The sequence below is a fragment of the Homo sapiens genome, chromosome 7, assembly GCF_000001405.40.
Source record: "Homo sapiens chromosome 7, GRCh38.p14 Primary Assembly".
Lineage (NCBI taxonomy): Eukaryota > Metazoa > Chordata > Mammalia > Primates > Hominidae > Homo > Homo sapiens.
Genome location: NC_000007.14, coordinates 27858974 through 27876203, shown reverse-complemented (window position 1 = coordinate 27876203; position 17230 = coordinate 27858974). Strand labels below are relative to the sequence as shown.

At 45.6% G+C, this 17230-nt stretch overlaps 1 protein-coding gene across 5 annotated transcripts in view, besides 2 other annotated features; it reads left to right on the top strand.

The window, feature by feature from the left end:
• JAZF1 (JAZF zinc finger 1) overlaps positions 1-17230 on the top strand; it is a 350219-nt gene that overhangs the window by 304592 nt on the left and 28397 nt on the right. The window lies entirely within an intron of this gene.
• Positions 7306-8505: an enhancer, noted in NCBI's record as "BRD4-independent group 4 enhancer chr7:27907318-27908517 (GRCh37/hg19 assembly coordinates)". NCBI's record gives its function as "activates an origin of replication core promoter dependent on BRD2, P300/CBP, MED14 and CDK7 cofactors, and independent of BRD4, by STARR-seq in HCT116 cells {active_cell/tissue: HCT116}" and the evidence as "EXISTENCE:reporter gene assay evidence [ECO:0000049][PMID:35650434]".
• Positions 11656-12156: an enhancer, noted in NCBI's record as "H3K4me1 hESC enhancer chr7:27903667-27904167 (GRCh37/hg19 assembly coordinates)". NCBI's record gives its function as "activates a minimal SCP1, AML or CMV promoter by ChIP-STARR-seq in naive H9 embryonic stem cells {active_cell/tissue: H9 hESC(naive)}" and the evidence as "EXISTENCE:reporter gene assay evidence [ECO:0000049][PMID:30033119]".

The following is a 17230-nucleotide window of genomic DNA, read 5'->3' as shown; positions in this document are numbered from 1 at the left end:
CAGAGGCATTAGAGGGTTAGCCCCCTAAAGGAGTAAGAACAACGCTGTGAGTTACCATGCGGGGACACCCAGGATGTACTGGGCACTTGGCTAACCAGGTCATTCACACACCCATTTTCTATGCAAATGTAGACCAGAAGGTAAGAGACATTAGGTAACATGCCCCAGGCCACACTGCTAGGAAGTTTTGGTGCCTGGATCTTAACCCAGGGCTGCCTTGCTGCAAAGCAGACTCCTGAGTGCTCTCCTCTGCTGCCTCTGAGGACTTAGGAATGACTGGAAATATAGGAAATGTGATTCCTTTGTGTGTCCTTCCATAACATTCATTTTAGCTCCTAGGATAATTACTAGTTTTCCAGGTATAACTAGGATAGGTCTGGTTAATATACTGAACAAACATCTGAGTGCTTACTGTGTACCTAATGAATGTACAGAGATAAAAGACATAACCCCAGTATCCCAGAGACTAGTGGGGAGACAGATGGTAAGATTCACATGGGGTGGACAGTTCTCTGATAGGGACGAGCTCAGAGCCCATGCAGGGCAGGCACCTGCCTAGCCCAGACTTGGATGAAGAGTCAGGAGACCTCTTGGAAGCAATGATGCCCAGTCTGAGCTTTAAGGATGAGTACCTCTTAGATGAAGAGAAAAAACAGGAGTGTGAGGCTAGCTAGGTCTGGTGGGTGGGGTGGGGGAAACATGCCCAGATGACAGGAGTTGGCACTTTTTGCTACGTTGAGGGGAAGTTAAGGGAGGGTTTTAAACAGGGGAATGTCATGGTTTGCTTCACATTTTTAAAAGGTTATTCTGACTGACCAATGACTGCTGGGATTGGGGCTGTAAAAATGGCTAAAAGAGGGACTCTATTCCAGCTGTGCCGAGGAAAGAGGAAAGTGATGTAAGGCTGGGACGAGGATCACAGAGCAGGGAAGTGCGGATGAACTCGGAATGTTTTGGAGTAGAGCCGATGGGAGTTGGATGAGGCTGGAAGAGAAAGCGAGAGAGAAAGACTCCCAGGCAGCCGAGTGGAGGCTGGGCCATTTCTTGCACGGATGGGAGACAAGCAGGTTTTCAGGGGCAGCCTACAGTCAAGGACTATCTTTTAGAATCAAGACATGGTCTTAAATCACTGACCGCCTCTGTCACAATATATGGTATTTCAATAGTTCCCAAGCTTTTCCCAGTGACCTTCAAAATACGGCTCTCTGGGACCTACCCCAAATCTAGCAAGTCAAATTCCAAGGGATAGAGCCTGGACCTCGGGTCTTTTCTGCAGCTCCCGGCGCTCCAGCACTGCCGGTCCAACATCATCTGTAGGTAGTGTTTGCAAGCCACTGCTTTGTTTTCTGTTTTCTGGGGCCAGGCTTGATGATCCCAAAGGCTATTGACCAGCCTTCCCACCCAGGGCCCAAGGCAGTGCCACGCCAAGCCAGCCCTCATTGATCATTGTCCAGCAGGCTGCTAGCGATTTCCCCAGATAAGGATCTCGATTAAAGGTTCAGTGGTTGGCCTGATTCAGGCCATGCTTCTTTGCTCTTTTCTCCTAGATGTTAGATGTGTTCTATGGGAGGAACTTTGAAAGAATAATGTTTTCCTAAGTGACAGGAATGTCCTGTATGTTAATGTTTTTTCATAAGGATCTAAGGTTCGGATGTCTGTCTGAATGATCTGATTCTCATAAATCGACAGATTGGTTCTGGAAATCCCATGAGCCTAGGCTGTCTTGAGAGATTTATGGCACTTCCTGCTCTCGTTGGGCCAGGAATAACATGACAGCTCCCTCTGCACTTCTGGTTTTTGTTCCTGAGGGGGTGGCAAAGGAGGGCAGAGGTGTGCTGAACCATACCACTTTGAAAGAAAACTGTCCAGACTTATTTTCCAGAACCTCAGAAAAAGCCTCATGTTCTGCTAAGGACGTAACAGTCTTCTGCCCCCTCCCTGGGGATTTTCCCAGCCTCAGCTCCTTCAGCCACATGGGTTCTGTGGTGTGGGATCAGGGCCAGGGCTGGCACGAGCCCATGGACACATTCCAAGGCTGAGCCAGCCTTCCTGGGCAGTGACCTTGGACCTTCAGCAGCAAGGCCCTGCGCCCAGCTGGAGATGAACTCATTCCCACCATGGTTTAAGATTCCTCCAAATAAATGTTAATGAGTTACAAATTAATTCCTTCTTGGCCTGACCAAGGAGAAAGACTGCTTATGATTGCCATTCCAATTAGAACCCACGCCTGGCAAATCTGTTTGACTGAATTATACATGATCCTGGTGGAAGTCTGATGTTTTTAGTCCATATAATAATTGCATCAGAGTGTCTCAGTCTACCTTCTCAGCAGCATATCAGAGTGGAGTCAGGAAATGTTCCACCAACTCTCTAGAAGAGAGACAGGCAACTGGCTCTAATGGCTGTTCCTCGAAGACCCAGCACTGAGTGCTGGAGGGGATGCAAAGATGAGCCACGCTCAGAGAGATGGCAGTGAAGTCACAGAGGAAGACAAGGTGTAAATAAAGCTCCTAGGAGACTCAACCTCAGTGCCTTCAGTGAACCGCTATCATGGTTAAAAGGGGTAGTAGGCACATCTACTGGCAACAATTCAGTTAACAATGACCGGGGGAAAGTAGCATTTGAGAGGTTTTCAAGAATGAGTGCAGGAAAGGGTAGAGGGTGGGCTGAGTGTTGTGTATTTCAAGCCAGAAAAACCTAGACAGCCAGCCAGGGGATGGTTGGGGACCCATTCCACACCAGTGAACTGGTGTGTTGGGTTCGGGAAGCATATGCATAGATATAAGGACCTTAAATGCCACGCTAAGGAATTTGTGTTTAATAGAGTTGGCAGTGGAGCCACTTTTAATAAGCAAAGTAACTAATGCAATCAAAGAAGAGCGATATGGATTGCAGCTATTTGGAGGAAGGTTGAATGTGGCAGCCAGAAAGAGGATGGATTGGAGGGCCAAGAGACTAGATCCTGGCATATCAGTTAGGAGGTTATTTCATTAGCCTGGGTGGAAGTATGAAGACCTTGTCGGAAATAGATTTGATTTTCTTGATGAAATTTCTGCATGTTGGACGGGAAATGACTTGATGTGGAAGCTTTTCAGTGCTGTCATGCATAACGCACAAATCCCTCCCAGTTGATAGAAACCTACCCCGTCGCTTAATATAAGTAAACTTTGTAGACGCTGGAATGTTTATGTTTGGCCCAAAATGGCTCTGGTTTTTTACACAGCTGTAAAGTGTATTTAACTCCCAAATATAAAACACTTATTGACTACTGGTTCATAGCTTCATAAAACAAGGCTCCGTTGCGTAGGTACTTTTTGTTGCCATCCCCTATCTTTTTATGCAGACCTGTTTCCTGATATTGTTATTCCAATGGGAAAAAAAAAATCGAACCCAAGTAAACTACCTTTTTTACAAGCAGCCTGAAGAAGAAAGCCCCAAAGACAATAAGGAGCCTCCGCATTTATATTTTTAACCCAAGATTACAGCTGCAACTAGCAGGGAAGCAAAATCGCTTTAATTGTGAATGTTTTTCATTGTGGTTGTGAGTGTAAGTAAGTAACAGATGTTCATTTTCCCCAGTTCAACTGTTTTTAATTCTTTCTTGAACATGTGGAGAGAGAAATCTTTAAACACTTGCCAAAGTTGAGTTAACATCCCCTGGCTGAAGGTAGAAAATGCCCTACTGTGTTTTTTCTCAGCCGTATACCCGCGTGGGCTGCCCTTGCCACAGAGCACAGGGGAAGGATTCCAGCTGGCACAGGTTTTATTACTGCTAAGTTAATTTGCAGAAAAAGCCTTTGGCGGGAGGGGTCTGTTCGACGTTTTATATATTTACTTATTTACTCTTTTTCAGTTATAAATAAAATTGCACTGTAAAACATTGCAGCTTAATTGCAGGAAACCCAATGCATTTTTTGTTGTTGTTCTGCAAGTGGTTAATAGCTTGTTTTTTTCTTTATATGGAGTTGGAGAAATCTTGTGTAAGAATATGTTTACAGCCAAGGCTGTGTGACTTGGTTTATCATGTTTTTCCTGTGCTCTGTGGAACAGACGGCTGTTCATTATTGAAAGGCCTTTTTCTGTGGAGAATGGAGCTTGCTGGCGGGGACGAGTTTATGTGAGAATGCAGAATGACTTCCAGAGACTATGGGCGCTCTGTGGCTATAAAGCCTCAACAGCACCATAGGCAGTGACATTATAACAATTTGCTTTAGCACCTCAGAAGTGTTTCAGCTGCATTTTCTGAAGTGAGCCCCGCTGAACGGAGCACATGCCACAGATAGTACCACCACTTTCTCCCAGCCTTCCATCCTTGACATGTGTGTCTCCCCACCTTCCATCCTTGACAGTTCTCGTGTGACAGTCGGCTGAGGCAGAAAAAGTTCTGCCCACTTGAACCATATACCCTTCACACGCTTCTAATTCTAGAACCCACCCCAAAAGATTGGGATCATCATATAATTAACATTCGAAGCATGTTTTTCTAAACCTTCACTTTTTAGAAAAATATAGACATAGAAAACATTTCTCTTGGATGCACAAACTTGAAAATTTTGCCCCTGAAGCAGTTTGAAATGGCCATTTACAAATGCATACTGTGCAGGCTTCTTGGACATTGATGACACTACCCATTGCAGAGGTTGTCTGTGTCTCCCCCGAAGGTTTGCTGAGTATCTGTTCATTAATCCTTATTTAGCTAACTGGAAAGTACTTTCCTTATTGTCTGTGACACATGGATTATCCCATTAGGACATCTGTGGATGACATATCGTTGGTTTGTTCTGAGATGAAAAGTGGTATTCTCCTTATAGAGCAAAACAAAGCAAGGGAAGAAACAGTTAATAGACTTGAGCTGACAAATGGGAGGTTGGCTAAAGATTGTGATCATCTCCTTACAGATGTCACAACCCCGTTGGCACACAGCACTGACCTTGCTTTCCCAAGGTTGACCTGTATGTCTCTAGATCAAGATTGATTTGAAAAATGAGCCATTTGTATTTAGTGCTGGTCTCAAATCAAACTCCAAACCAGTTGAGGAGGAACAGCGAAGTTATTCAGTGGTTTGAGAACTTAGAATTGGAAAATCTCTCCTTTTTATTTCCCTCAGGACCCAACTTGTAACTTCTCGTTACAATGACGGTTTAAGAGACACATTTAAACCTGGTATTCTTCCTCTATTCATGAAACTGCATCTACATATACGTACTGTGGCTGGGGGTACATGAACCCAGTCAAAATCATCCAGGAAGCATTGCTAACTACTCTGGAGTTTTCAAAAGCACTCCCTATTCGAACCTCATGTTCAGAAAAGTAGATAAGCAGCTTGTTTGGGTGGACACAATCACAGAGTACTGGATGCGTGCGCTGGTGTATGCCTGAGAATGAGTTTTAAGCAGCCTCCCGAGCAGCATCTGTGACTCAGGAGGGCTCTGTCACCTGGCTTGCAAATGCTGGTTTCCCATTTATTTGACCTGGGCAGCCACTAGCAGGACCTTGGAGGGGTTGCCAGTGACCTGGGGGCCGGACTTCCACCCTTGCTTGGACCTTTGCTGAGTATGTGACCTGGGACAGGTCACCCCCTCCCCAGGCCCTTGGTCTTGTCCTCTGTAAGAGGGGAGGTTGGCACAGGAAATCTGAGGTTCTTTCCAGCCTTGAAATATTATTATTCTATGACACAGTGATAACATTGTATATAGGTCAAGCTTGAGTGTTTTAAAATCTATCAGAAAGTATGTACTGATGGCATACTTGGGACTTGTGTAGGAGAGACTCATCAAACAGGGTCCCAGCCCACTTGGAACTTAAAGCAGATGTGGAATTCATACATGAAAGGGATGGGACATGGCCAGAACACAGGTAGCAGAGCCGGAGCCAGGGGCAGTGAGCAAGTTGGGGCTGGAGGGAGAGGCACAGCAGGACCAGTACCTCCTCCAAGACCCCAGGAAATGAGCTTATGGGGGCTTTCTAAATGCAGTTAGGGGCCAGGCATGGTGGCTCACGCCTGTAATCCCAGCACTTTGGGAGGCTGAGGTGGGTGGATCATGAGGTCAGGAGTTCGAGACCAGCCTGACCAACATGGTGAAACCCAGTCTCTACTAAAAATACAAAAAAAAAAAAAAAAAAAAAAATTAACCGGGTGTGGCAGTGTGCGCCTGTAATACCAGCCACTCAGGAGGCTGAGGCAGGAGATTCACTTGAACCCAGGATGCAGAGGTTGCAGTGAGCCAGTATCGTGCCACTGCACTCTAGCCTGGGCGACAGAGCAACAGAGCGAGATTCCATCTCAAAATAAAATAAATGTAGTTAGGGAGGCAGGGCTTGATGGTGGAGGGGCTAGGAAAATACGACACAGAAATTCAAACCAGCCTCCCTTTACTTTGCACAGAAAGTCAGCCCTTGGTAGAAATACCATTTCCTAACCCTAGAAGGGAAGAAATGGCAGAAGGACAGAGAGATAGTGTCTTTTGTTGCCGTGTTTCTATTTTTGTTTTACACAAAGCCTACTTCCTACTGCACATTACGAGTGGCAGGTGGGACATCTTCCTGGCCTGCCCCGTCCTGGATGTGATTCTGGAAAACAGGCCAGAAGCAACCCCTTGGTTCCTGCATGGGATCACCACACTAGGAAGGGACCCAAATAGAAGCCTGTGTCCATTTAATCATCTGTCTCGGAAGCATGGGGAGGAGAAGGGGGATGGCACAGCTGATGCTGCAGATGTTTGTACCTCCATGTTGGTGCCGTCGAGCTACTGCTGTCTAGAGTCCCCAAAATACCTAGTCTGTCCACATTTATTACAATGGAAACTACTATCCAAACTGGCCACCCGTAGTTCAGGCAGAACCTAATGGAAGCACCTGATGGTTTTGGAGTCCTACTGGTAAATACGTCATTCATCGCATTTCCATTCACAGCAGGGTGCGGGGTCCTCCCTTATTTCTGTTGCCGCTTGTTTGGGAACTGATAGGTGTGATTTATTAGGCCATGACTGTTCCTGTTTTTCAGCCCTGAATAGAGGTCTAATAACACTTAGTCTTATTACCAAACCACGTAAAAACCTCTTGCTTATCACTATGTGGTGTTTATGTGGCATCGTTCTGTTCCACAAGACATTTTATGAACATGCAGAGAAGTTTGCAACTTGTGAATGCAGGATTTCCAGTGTAGCAATACATAACAATACATGTATCCAGAGAGGCCCTGAAGTTGAATGAACAAAGGACAAGAGTGGAGGAAAGAGCCCACACACCTCTATTCTGGGGAAGAAAAATATCGTCCCTTTCATTCTTGGTGTGACCAATCTGCCCAGGGTCTAGACTGAGCTACTGCTCTCTGTCAGGCACCGTGAAAAGCCTTCTCCATGTATTAGTTGTATCCTTGCCACAGTGAGCTACTGTTGTGGTTGTCATTTTTCAAGTGGGGTAACTGGAGCTTGAAGGAGTAAGTCCCCAAGATCCCACAAACAGGGTTTAAATGTTGGCAGTTTGACTTGGGTACCATGCTCTCTCTTTCCAGGAGGCAACCTCTCACTGCCAGAGTTAATGCTTATAAGTCACAGCAACAGGGAAATCTGAGTGCCACTTTTGAAGTCCACTGTGTCCAAATTAAAGAAGAATCCAGTCTTCAGAGGAAGTGACATCATGCCTTTGTCACCTAGATAGGCTGGGGCAGGGCAGCTGGGGAGCCGACCAGCCAGGCTGGAGCAAGCAACTCCACGCCTTGTTCAGAGTGGATGGTGAGAAACCCCCGTGAGGCGGCCCATGCAGGGGCGGAGGAATCTGGAGAGGGGGATGGGAGCGGGAGAAGCAAGCGGCAGTCAACCCCACAGGGAGTTGCGGTGAGGACCGGGGAACGGCATCTGCAGGAGCAGGCATGGGCCATGTGAGTGACAGTGGGCAGGAGAAATTGGTCACCCGTGTTAACCCCGCTGCTCCTGGAGTTCTGTCACTGATCCTAGGCCTTAAAGTTGTTGAGCAAGCAACGTGACTCATCCCAATAGATGGTGTCATGTGTGAACTCACGTGTCTGTTCAACCAGTGAAAATAGTAACGACTAGTGCTGACAGTATGGCAGGCACTGATCCAAGCACCGTTGTCGTATTCACTCATTGAATCCTCTGAAGTGGGCTCTGTAGCAAGAGAAGAAAATGGCAAATGGAATTGAATGTCTTGCCTGAGTCACCAAGCGAGTCCATGAAGAAACCAACATGGAACCCAGGCTAGTCGGTCACAGAGTGTCCTCTCATGACCAGGCGAGATCCTGCGAAAGAAATAGAAATGACAGGAAAAGCATTGCCAGGGTCACTGGGCACTCCCACTGAGACCTTGGCCCTCTGAAACTGGCCACAATGCCCATGTCTAAGAGAAGCTTAGTAGATAAGCATGTAGGACATGAATGGCACTGGGAGCAGTGACAGCCACGCTGTCTACCTCTCCCTCGGTCTTTGTTGTCATGCCTGGAGTGTAAAATTCTGACTGATTTTTAGATCTCATTCTTAAAACGATCTCTTTGAGTGGGAAATTCTTGCCCTTGCAGTTTCTCCCAATCGCTTATGTCAAAGTTTGTCACCCGCATAACGTTTTACCAGATTGAAATGCAGCCCTGATGGTTATGAGGCCTGCCTGGTACATGCAATATGTAAAAGCGACACTGCTGGTGCTCTTAGGAAGCTGCCCTGTTAGGAAGCCAAATAGCCTTCTTAAAAATCAGAAGTACTCTCATAAAACTCGTTTTTCATGCGGCACAGGCTGTAGTTTCCCCATGGGACGAAGTGTGAAACTAAGCTTTTATGGGCAATCTCTGAGATTTGCGTGAACTTTCAGTGACTCTCACGACATTATTCTCAAGAGAAGCAGCTTATTTTCTGTTGGTGCATTTTCATGTCATATGCTATGTCTTGGAAGAGACAATTACTCTGATGTAGTAGAAACTGGTTTTGGCTGGCAGACCCTAATTATTTCTCATCTTGATCATTGCAACATTTTTCTCTATATCAATCATCCTCCCTTTCCCAGCCCTCCTTTTGAGCTTTCTCTTGGCATAAAAATATCCACCCTGTCTGTAGGTGTACCCTCTATAAATATAGCACATTTTATTTCACAGTTAAGAAGGAAATCATCATACCAAAACAAGCTCCGGCGAGGGCTGCCGCAGTGCAGACACAAGCAGCAGTTGGTCCAACAAAGACAGTACTCACTCTCACTGCCTTCAGAAGTCATGTCGTTAAGAGTGAGGCACTCCCTTAGTGTCTGGGCCATCTCCAACCTTGCATTCCTCCACGGTGTGATGCAGTCTGCCCACCCAAGTTCTGCATCGTGCACCTCGAGGCCAGAGAGACAGCGTGTCTTCTTTATCCCCAGGTCTCCACTAATGTGAATGGATTAATGAAAATAAATTCAGCAATATAATCCTAAATCAGCACATTATGTTTCTCCAACACCGTTAGGAAGCAGTATGGTAATCGAGTGTGTTCGAAATGTAAACTACATTTTAGACATTTTAGTCCACTAATTATAGGCAGATAATTCGAATTAGATTATTGTTAGGCCTTTGTGGTTCCTTGGTCGTTGTTCAAATCCAGACATTTAATTTAAAAATACTGATTAACAGGACTATAGCAACCAACACTAATATAGTGTTAACTGTGTGCTGGAAGTCAACCTAAATATGCTTATGAAACCACAGAATCTTCACCACAGCCCTGTGAGGTTAGCTCTAATATTACTTCCATTTTACAGATGAGGAAATGGAGGTGTGGAGAGGTGAGATAACTGTCAGAACAGAGCAGAATGAAGCACAGGATGCCTGCTCCCAAGTGCCTCTCTTAGCCACCTCACCATGTGGGCTCTGGACAGTTGGGTTGAGTTTGTGTCTTTGTGTTCATCAGGGTTAATGGAAGGATGAAGCCGTTCTGTGTGCACCTTTGCACATTGCAATCTGGCCTATCATCATTGTGGCTCCTTTCATTTTATCATATAGAAATTGTAGTGTCTGTTAAGTAAGCAAAATTACTAAGTACAAAATATCCATACTACATACAAATGCCTACGTGCACTGTGTCACAGAGCACCATCCTTTCAGTGCCGGCAGTGCTGCCCTCACTCGATGAAGACGAGCTGAGGTTGTGCTGCAAGACTTGAACCTGTCTGCGAACCCATTCTAGGTAGCAGCCTGATGACGGCCTGAGTAAGGAGTTCAAAGTGCCGCATACATGATCATTCTTAGTCCAGCAGAACAGCCCCAAGTGACTTGTGGCTGTTCCCTAGAACAAAGTCACCTGCTCAGAAAGCAAGGGTGGACTGCCCTTGAGAATATTCACAAAGAATGTGCCCCGTGTCCTAAAGGATACTGAATCAGCTGGGAATCTTCTGCATACTGTCCATCAATCTGTGTATCTGTCACTTTCGTGTCTGTGGCTGTCAGCTCCCTTCTACTTGGGCCCTTCTGAAGCTACGGAAGTTGGATTGGCAACAGCTCTGCTCCCCGGTTAAACTTCAGGTTCCTGGTGGGGAGGGCTGGTGGGTGGCACTCACTGTACTCCTAGCTAACACAACATCTTGTCGATGGTCGCCAAAAACTCCCCTTCTCTTTCTCTGTTAGCCTGTTTTATATCCTATTTAAATGTTGGATACCATTATTCAGTAGTATGTTTTTTCTGGGTTAAATGTTGGTTCTTTTATAAAGAAATCCTATAAACTAGATTCTGATGGTTAAATATGGCTTTAAAGATTTTTACTGTTTGAAGTAGTAAGAACTACATTTTCTGTGAGAGAGCACATACACCCCTGAAACAAAAGCTTCATGAACACATCTCTTTTGTCATTGTTTTCTGTTTGGAGACAGGGTCTCACTCTGTCACCTAGGCTGCAGTGCAGTGGCACGATCATGGCTCACTGCAGCCTCAACCTCCCCAGGCTCAAGCAATCCTCCTACCTCAGCCTCCTGAGTAGCTGGCATCACAAGCGTGTGCTACTGCACCTGGCTAATTTCTGTATTTTTTGTGGAGACAGGATTTCACCATGTTGCCCAGGCTGGTCTTGAACTCCTGGGCTCAAGCGATCTGCTTGCCTCAACCTCCCAAAGTGTTAGGATTAACATCTGTGAGCCACTGTGCCCAGCCCATGAACACACCTTATACTCTGATACTCTCTATTCCATTCTGTCCCTTTTCAAATGCTCGTCATGCCCCATTAAATTGATCTCACAACCTACTCCTGGGTCACGGTCTGCAGTTTGGGAGCACTATTCGAGACTCTGGGGGAAGCAGGTCCTGTGAGGGAGCCCATTGCCACAGAAAAACTTTATAGTAAATTTCCCCAAGTCTGTAGCAACATTGAGAAATGTTGTTAAGGGAAAATAAGTCATTTTGATCTCCCCAAGAGGGAAGTAGTGGGACTTCTGACTTGGTTAACGGATGGGGAAAGGTGTCTCTCTGAGCTCCCTGCTGTCCTGAAGAGACGTTGGCATTTTTCGTTGCTCAGTTTTTCCTAAAAATGTAGGATTTTTTTTTAAGAAATGAGACCTGAAACAACATATGGGAACAATAAAGGAGATGATATTTTCTTGGTGCTACTCAGGTGGTTTCTTTCTCTTCTAACCAAGCTGGGAGAGCAGGGAACTCAGGTACCAGGAGAAGTCAGCTTGACCGGAGCCCTCAGCAGGGAGAGGACTCCTGCTAGGGGGGCAGTAGGCTCTGAGCCGGGCAAACCCATGGGTTTTGACTCCAAACTGAGTAGGTGAGCAGAGGGCTGCTTTGAAGTCTCAAAATGAAAAGAAGAAAAGGATGAAGGGGCCTGGCACTCTAGGGTTAATGAGAAAGGGACTGATTTTTCCTAGGGTGTGCATTTTTTTCATCTTTTTCTGAGAATGTGCTTATTTAAATACATGCAGAATTTCTTGTTATGGCTTTGTGGAATTGTCTTAAAATCTGAATTTCCAGTTTTTAGAAGATGTTGATTTGAATAGCTTTGATCTTGACCTCAAATTAAATCGCGGGCCATGGAATTAGGGTGACATTCTTCCTTCTTCCCTGATGCAGAGTGAGGGAGCCAGGGGTGAGTCACAGCCTCCTCTGTGCATCATTAGCCCTTAGGATGACGACGGTCTCGTCACAGCGGCCAGGCGGTAGTCAGGGCCCTGCGCTCCTGGTGAGTCCGGGCTCTGTTCACAAAGCTGGCGGCTTGGAGGAGGCAGCCCCTGCATTCTCCTGTGCTCCTCTCTGGCAGTTGACCTAGCGGGAAGTGCCACTGCCCACAAGCATTCCATCAACTTGTGAGTTTCACTTCTTTGCCAAAAACTGGCAGAGAGAAATGTGACAGGGAATTGAACTTAGGCGTTTCATTTGCTGGAAGCTGAATCTCAGGTAGGTGACGTTTTTGTGTGTCTTCGCTATGCCTTCCTCCCTTGAGCCTTGTACTTGGATTTCTGTTCCCCAAGGAACCACATCGCGTAGTCACAAGACAGTGGCCTGGGGGTCAGGAGGCCCTGTGTTTGCACATTGTCTCTGCCTCTGATTTATTTCTTCAACAAATATATATTGAGTGCCAATTGTGTGCCAGTCACTTTTAAGGATACCAGGAATTCAGTTTTGCAGAGCTTGCATTCCAGTGCTGGGGGAAGAAGGATGGCAAAGACGAAAACAGCATCATTTAGAAAGTTAGCTGCACTATGAGGGAGATACCCAGGTACGGAGGTTGTGCCTGGGCAAGGACGGGCTCCCTCGGCAGGGAGGTGATCAGGGCAGGCCTCCTGGGGGAAGTGACATTTGAGCTGACATGACCTGAATGCTGAGCAGCCACCCATGAGAAAAACTGGAAGAAGAAAGTCCAAGGAGAGGGCACCATGGGAAGAAGGCCCTGTGGCGGGGACAGGCTCAGCATTTTATAGCCACCGGTCTCTAATTCAAGAGCAGGGAGAACAGGGTCATCAAAGGGACCCCAGCCAGATGGACATGGAGACATACAAGTGTCATAAAAGAGAGGGAAGGATAATGATGGGCAGGGAAGGAATAGACAACGAAGTAGCCGTAGGCAGAGAAAATAAATCTGCATGTTCACCTGAAATAACATTTTGAAGCACATGTTGATGTTAGCATTAAATTGGAAATGTCAGTAGTGAATTCATGATCCTAAAGAGAAGCCCAGACAGCCCTGTCCCCAAGGCAGGCCGGAATGGTGGCCCTACCCAGAAGCAGCCCTCACATGGGACCATCGGGCCCCACAAGCAGCACCTAGATTTTGGTCTCAGTGCTGTCCTCTATTTAAAGGAAAGGAGCTGACCCCATGTCTTAGGGCAGGAGTAATCCAAGACAGGCCTGGAACTTTTGTTCTTGCTAGAAAAAAGAATGATTTCAAAGCAGCCAGGGAACTTCCAGTTTAAAAAGGTGATGTGAACACGCACATGCACCCAAAATACAGAAAGCGGGGTTTCAAAATCATAAGCCACAAAGATAAAGATAGAGGTGAGGCAGCAGCAACAGAAGCGTGGAAGCTGGACAGCAAGTGGAAAAGAGGTCACTGACTTAGCAGACTAGAAAAAGCTGGAACTTAAGCTGAAAAGGGTGAGCTCAGAGGTGGGCTGATTCACATTCAATAATCCCAGAAAGCCTCCAGATCTGGAGCAACCTAATAGGTACGTGGTCTCTCTTTGGAGAGATGAAAATGGTCTGAAATTGTTTGAGATGATGGCTGCACTACTCTGTGAATATATGGAAAACCTTGAGCAGTACGCTTGAAATAAGTGGATTGTATAGTATGTGAATTATACCTCAGTAAAGCTTTATGTTCATTGGGTACTCATGGACATAAAGACGGCAGCAGTAGACACTGGGGACCTCTGGGGCGGGGGAGGCGGGAGGGGACAAGGGTTGAAAAGCTAACTATTGATTACCATGCCCAGGACCTGGGTGATGGGATCAATTGTACCCCAAACCTCAGCATCACACAATATACAAACCTGCATGTGTACCCCCTAGATCTAAAATAAAAGTTGAAAATATTTTTTAAAAAGTAAAAATAAATCTGTTCTATTTTAAAAATGGAGCTACAGATACCTCTGAATGTGGGAGTACAGATAAGGCTGAAGTCAGGAGAACTGGCTGAGAGTCTCCACGGGATGTCCCTTCCTTTCCCCCTCTGTATCCTCCCTAACTCTGCGAGGCCAGGCAGCTGCCATCCCTCCCGTGACAGAGCATGGCTCTGGAGATGCTGAACCAGAGCTGCCAGGCAGAGCCCAGGGTGAGGGCACAGTTCTTAGAACAGGGAGGCTGAGGAAGAGACTCCATCCTGAGTGGTAGAAGTCCAGTGCCCTTTCTCTACCCACAGCCACTCACACCACCCAGGATGGTCAGCCCAAGGGGAAAGGACCTGTGAGGTGGTCCCCCTCCAGGTTCACTGTGTGGACCTTCACCATTTGATAGACCCACCTATGCACCAGAGCATCCAATCTGCTTTTTATGCCTCACTTTTAAATATGAGCAGACAGACAAGGATCCTCAAGGTTTGGGAATGGCTTCCAGGACAGACAGTGTCAGAGACCAGATTAAAGAGGAAAAAAGGCACACCGGAGAAACAGTGACAGTGCATGGGGCAGGAGAAAATAAAAACAACAACCTTCTCCTTACAGAGAGAAGAAAGCTTTGTGCATGAAAAAAAAAAGAATAAAAAAAGTAGTCTTTGGAAATTAAAACAGGTGATGGCAGAAATGAAAACATTTATAGAAAGGACAGAGAGCTATTTTAGAAAAATCTCCCAGAAAGTAAAAAGGAAAAAAAAAATCAGAGATTTAGAAAACAGAAGTGATAAGAATATGAGAGGATTAGTCCAGGAGGTGTGTAACATTAGAATAAAAAGAATTCCCAGAAAGACAGCTAAGAGAGGAAATTATAAAAAAAAAATTTTTTTCAAAGAAATTTCCCAGAACTGAAGGGCGTGAGTTTCCAGGTGGATGAGTCCCCCGCACAGTAGTAAAAGGATGGCAGGTGGAAGGACAGAGAGCAGCGAGAAGCTGAGTCTCCCAGGAGGAGGACACATCTGAGAATGGGAGTTAGTGCAGCTCAGGACTCGTGGGCATCGACCTGAGAGTAGAATGAAGACGTCCTCAGACATTCAGGGACTCCAGATTTTACCTCCCATGACCCAAGCAAGGGGTGAACGAAGAAAGAGGAAGACACAGAACCTTGGAACAGGCATCGGCCCCATGTGGGGAGAGGAAAAGGGAACTGCTGGGACAGTGGAGAAGGGGAATCCCAGGATGGCAGCCATGCAGGGTGGTTCTGGAGTAGAAGGACAGAGGGCACCAGGTGCCCAAAGACTGTCTCTTAGGAAAAAGGAGGGACGAGGGGAGGCAAAGAGGAAAGTGGGGATGGGGGGAACCAGAATACCTGGGGGCTTAAACACACTGAGAGGAGGCTTACAGTCCATCTGAGGGTCAGGCTGGATTCAAGTATGCAGTGCAGTACGCTGGCTGGGAACACAGACCCTGGCCAGCTGGGAACCCTTGCACCCCACGGAGGAGCTTTGTGACCTCTGACAAGATACTCTGCCTCTCTGGGCTTCCATTTTATGTAAAATGAAGATAATCTTAGTACTCACCTAAAAGGGTTGTTGTGACATTTAAATGAGCTAATAGATGTACAGCGCTTAGAGCTGTGCCTGGCCTGTAGTGAGCCCCAGATACACATCAGCTGCTCATGCAGTGAGGAGGATGAGGAGGAGGATGAAGATGAGAAAGATCACAACAGAGGTTGTGGAGATGGTGTTGAACTCCAAGGAAGATAAAGATGTGAGCTTGGTTCATCCCATGGCTCAGTGTCATCATAGTGCAACATTGAATACTAATGAAGCCAAATACAGGAAGGCCTCACTTAATGTTGTCAAGAGGTTCTTGGAAATTTTCACTTTAAGTGAAATGACATATAACAGAACCAATTTTCCCAAAGGCTAATTTATACAAAGAGAAGTTAAGTTCCTACAGCATATTTCTGATCACAAAAACAGCAAACTTCTAAATAAAGACCCAAAACACTTCTAGTATTAAACATTAAAATAAATGTGAGCTATCATACATTTAAGAAAATTAATTAAACAGGATAATTATTTACCCAAGTTTTGATGCATCAGTGAGTAACAATGGTCCTCTTGGTAGTGGGTTAAATTAAGAAATAAATGTGTGACTATTGTAAGGAGCACCTCCTCCCACCACAGTTCAAAAACCAGCAATAACAGATGTGGCAGGCTCGCTGAGCACTTTTGCACATCATCATTTACTGTCGTGCACTTGTACAATTATCGTAGACTTTACAGACTTTTATTTGATAATTTGTATTCATTTTCTTTTTTTATTATACTTTAAGTTCTGTATACATGTGCAGAACGTGCAGGTTTGTTACATAGCTATACACATGCCATGGTGGTTTGCTGCACCCATCAACCCGTCATCTACATTAGGTATTTCTTCTAATGCTATCCCTCCCCTAGCCCCCCATGCCCCAACAGGCCCCGGTGTGTGATGTTCCCCTCCCTGTGTCCATGTGTTCTCATTGTTCAACTCCCACTTATGAGTGAGAACATGTGGTGTTTGGTTTTCTGTTCCTGTGTTAGTTTGCTGAGAATGATAGTTTCTGGCTTTATCCATGTCCCTGCAAAGGACATGACCTCATCCTATTTTATGGCTGCATAGTATTCCATGGTGTATATGTGCCACATTTTCTTTATCTATCATTGATGGACATTTGGGTTGGTTCCAAGTCTTTGCTGTTGTAAACAGGGCTGCAGTAAACATACATGTGCATGTGTCTTTATAGTAGAATGATTTATAATCCTTTGAGTATATACCCAGTAATGGGATTGCTGGGTCGAATGGTATTTCTGGTTCTAGATCCTTGAGGAATCACCACACTGTCTTCCACAATGGTTGAAATAATTTACACTCCCACCAACAGTGTAAAAGCCTTCCTGTTTCTCCACATCCTCTCCAGCATCTGTTGTTTCCTGACTTTTTAATGATTCCCATTTTAACTGGAGTGAGATGGTATCTCATTGTGGTTTTGATTTACATTTCTCTAATGATCAGTGATGATGAGCTTTTTTTCATATGTTTGCTGGCCGCATAAATGTCTTCTTTTGAGAAGTGTGTTCATATCCTTTGCCCACTTTTTGATGGGGTTGTTTGTTTTTTTCTTGTAAATTTAAGTTCTTTGCAGATTCTGGATATTAGCCCTTTGTCAGATGGATA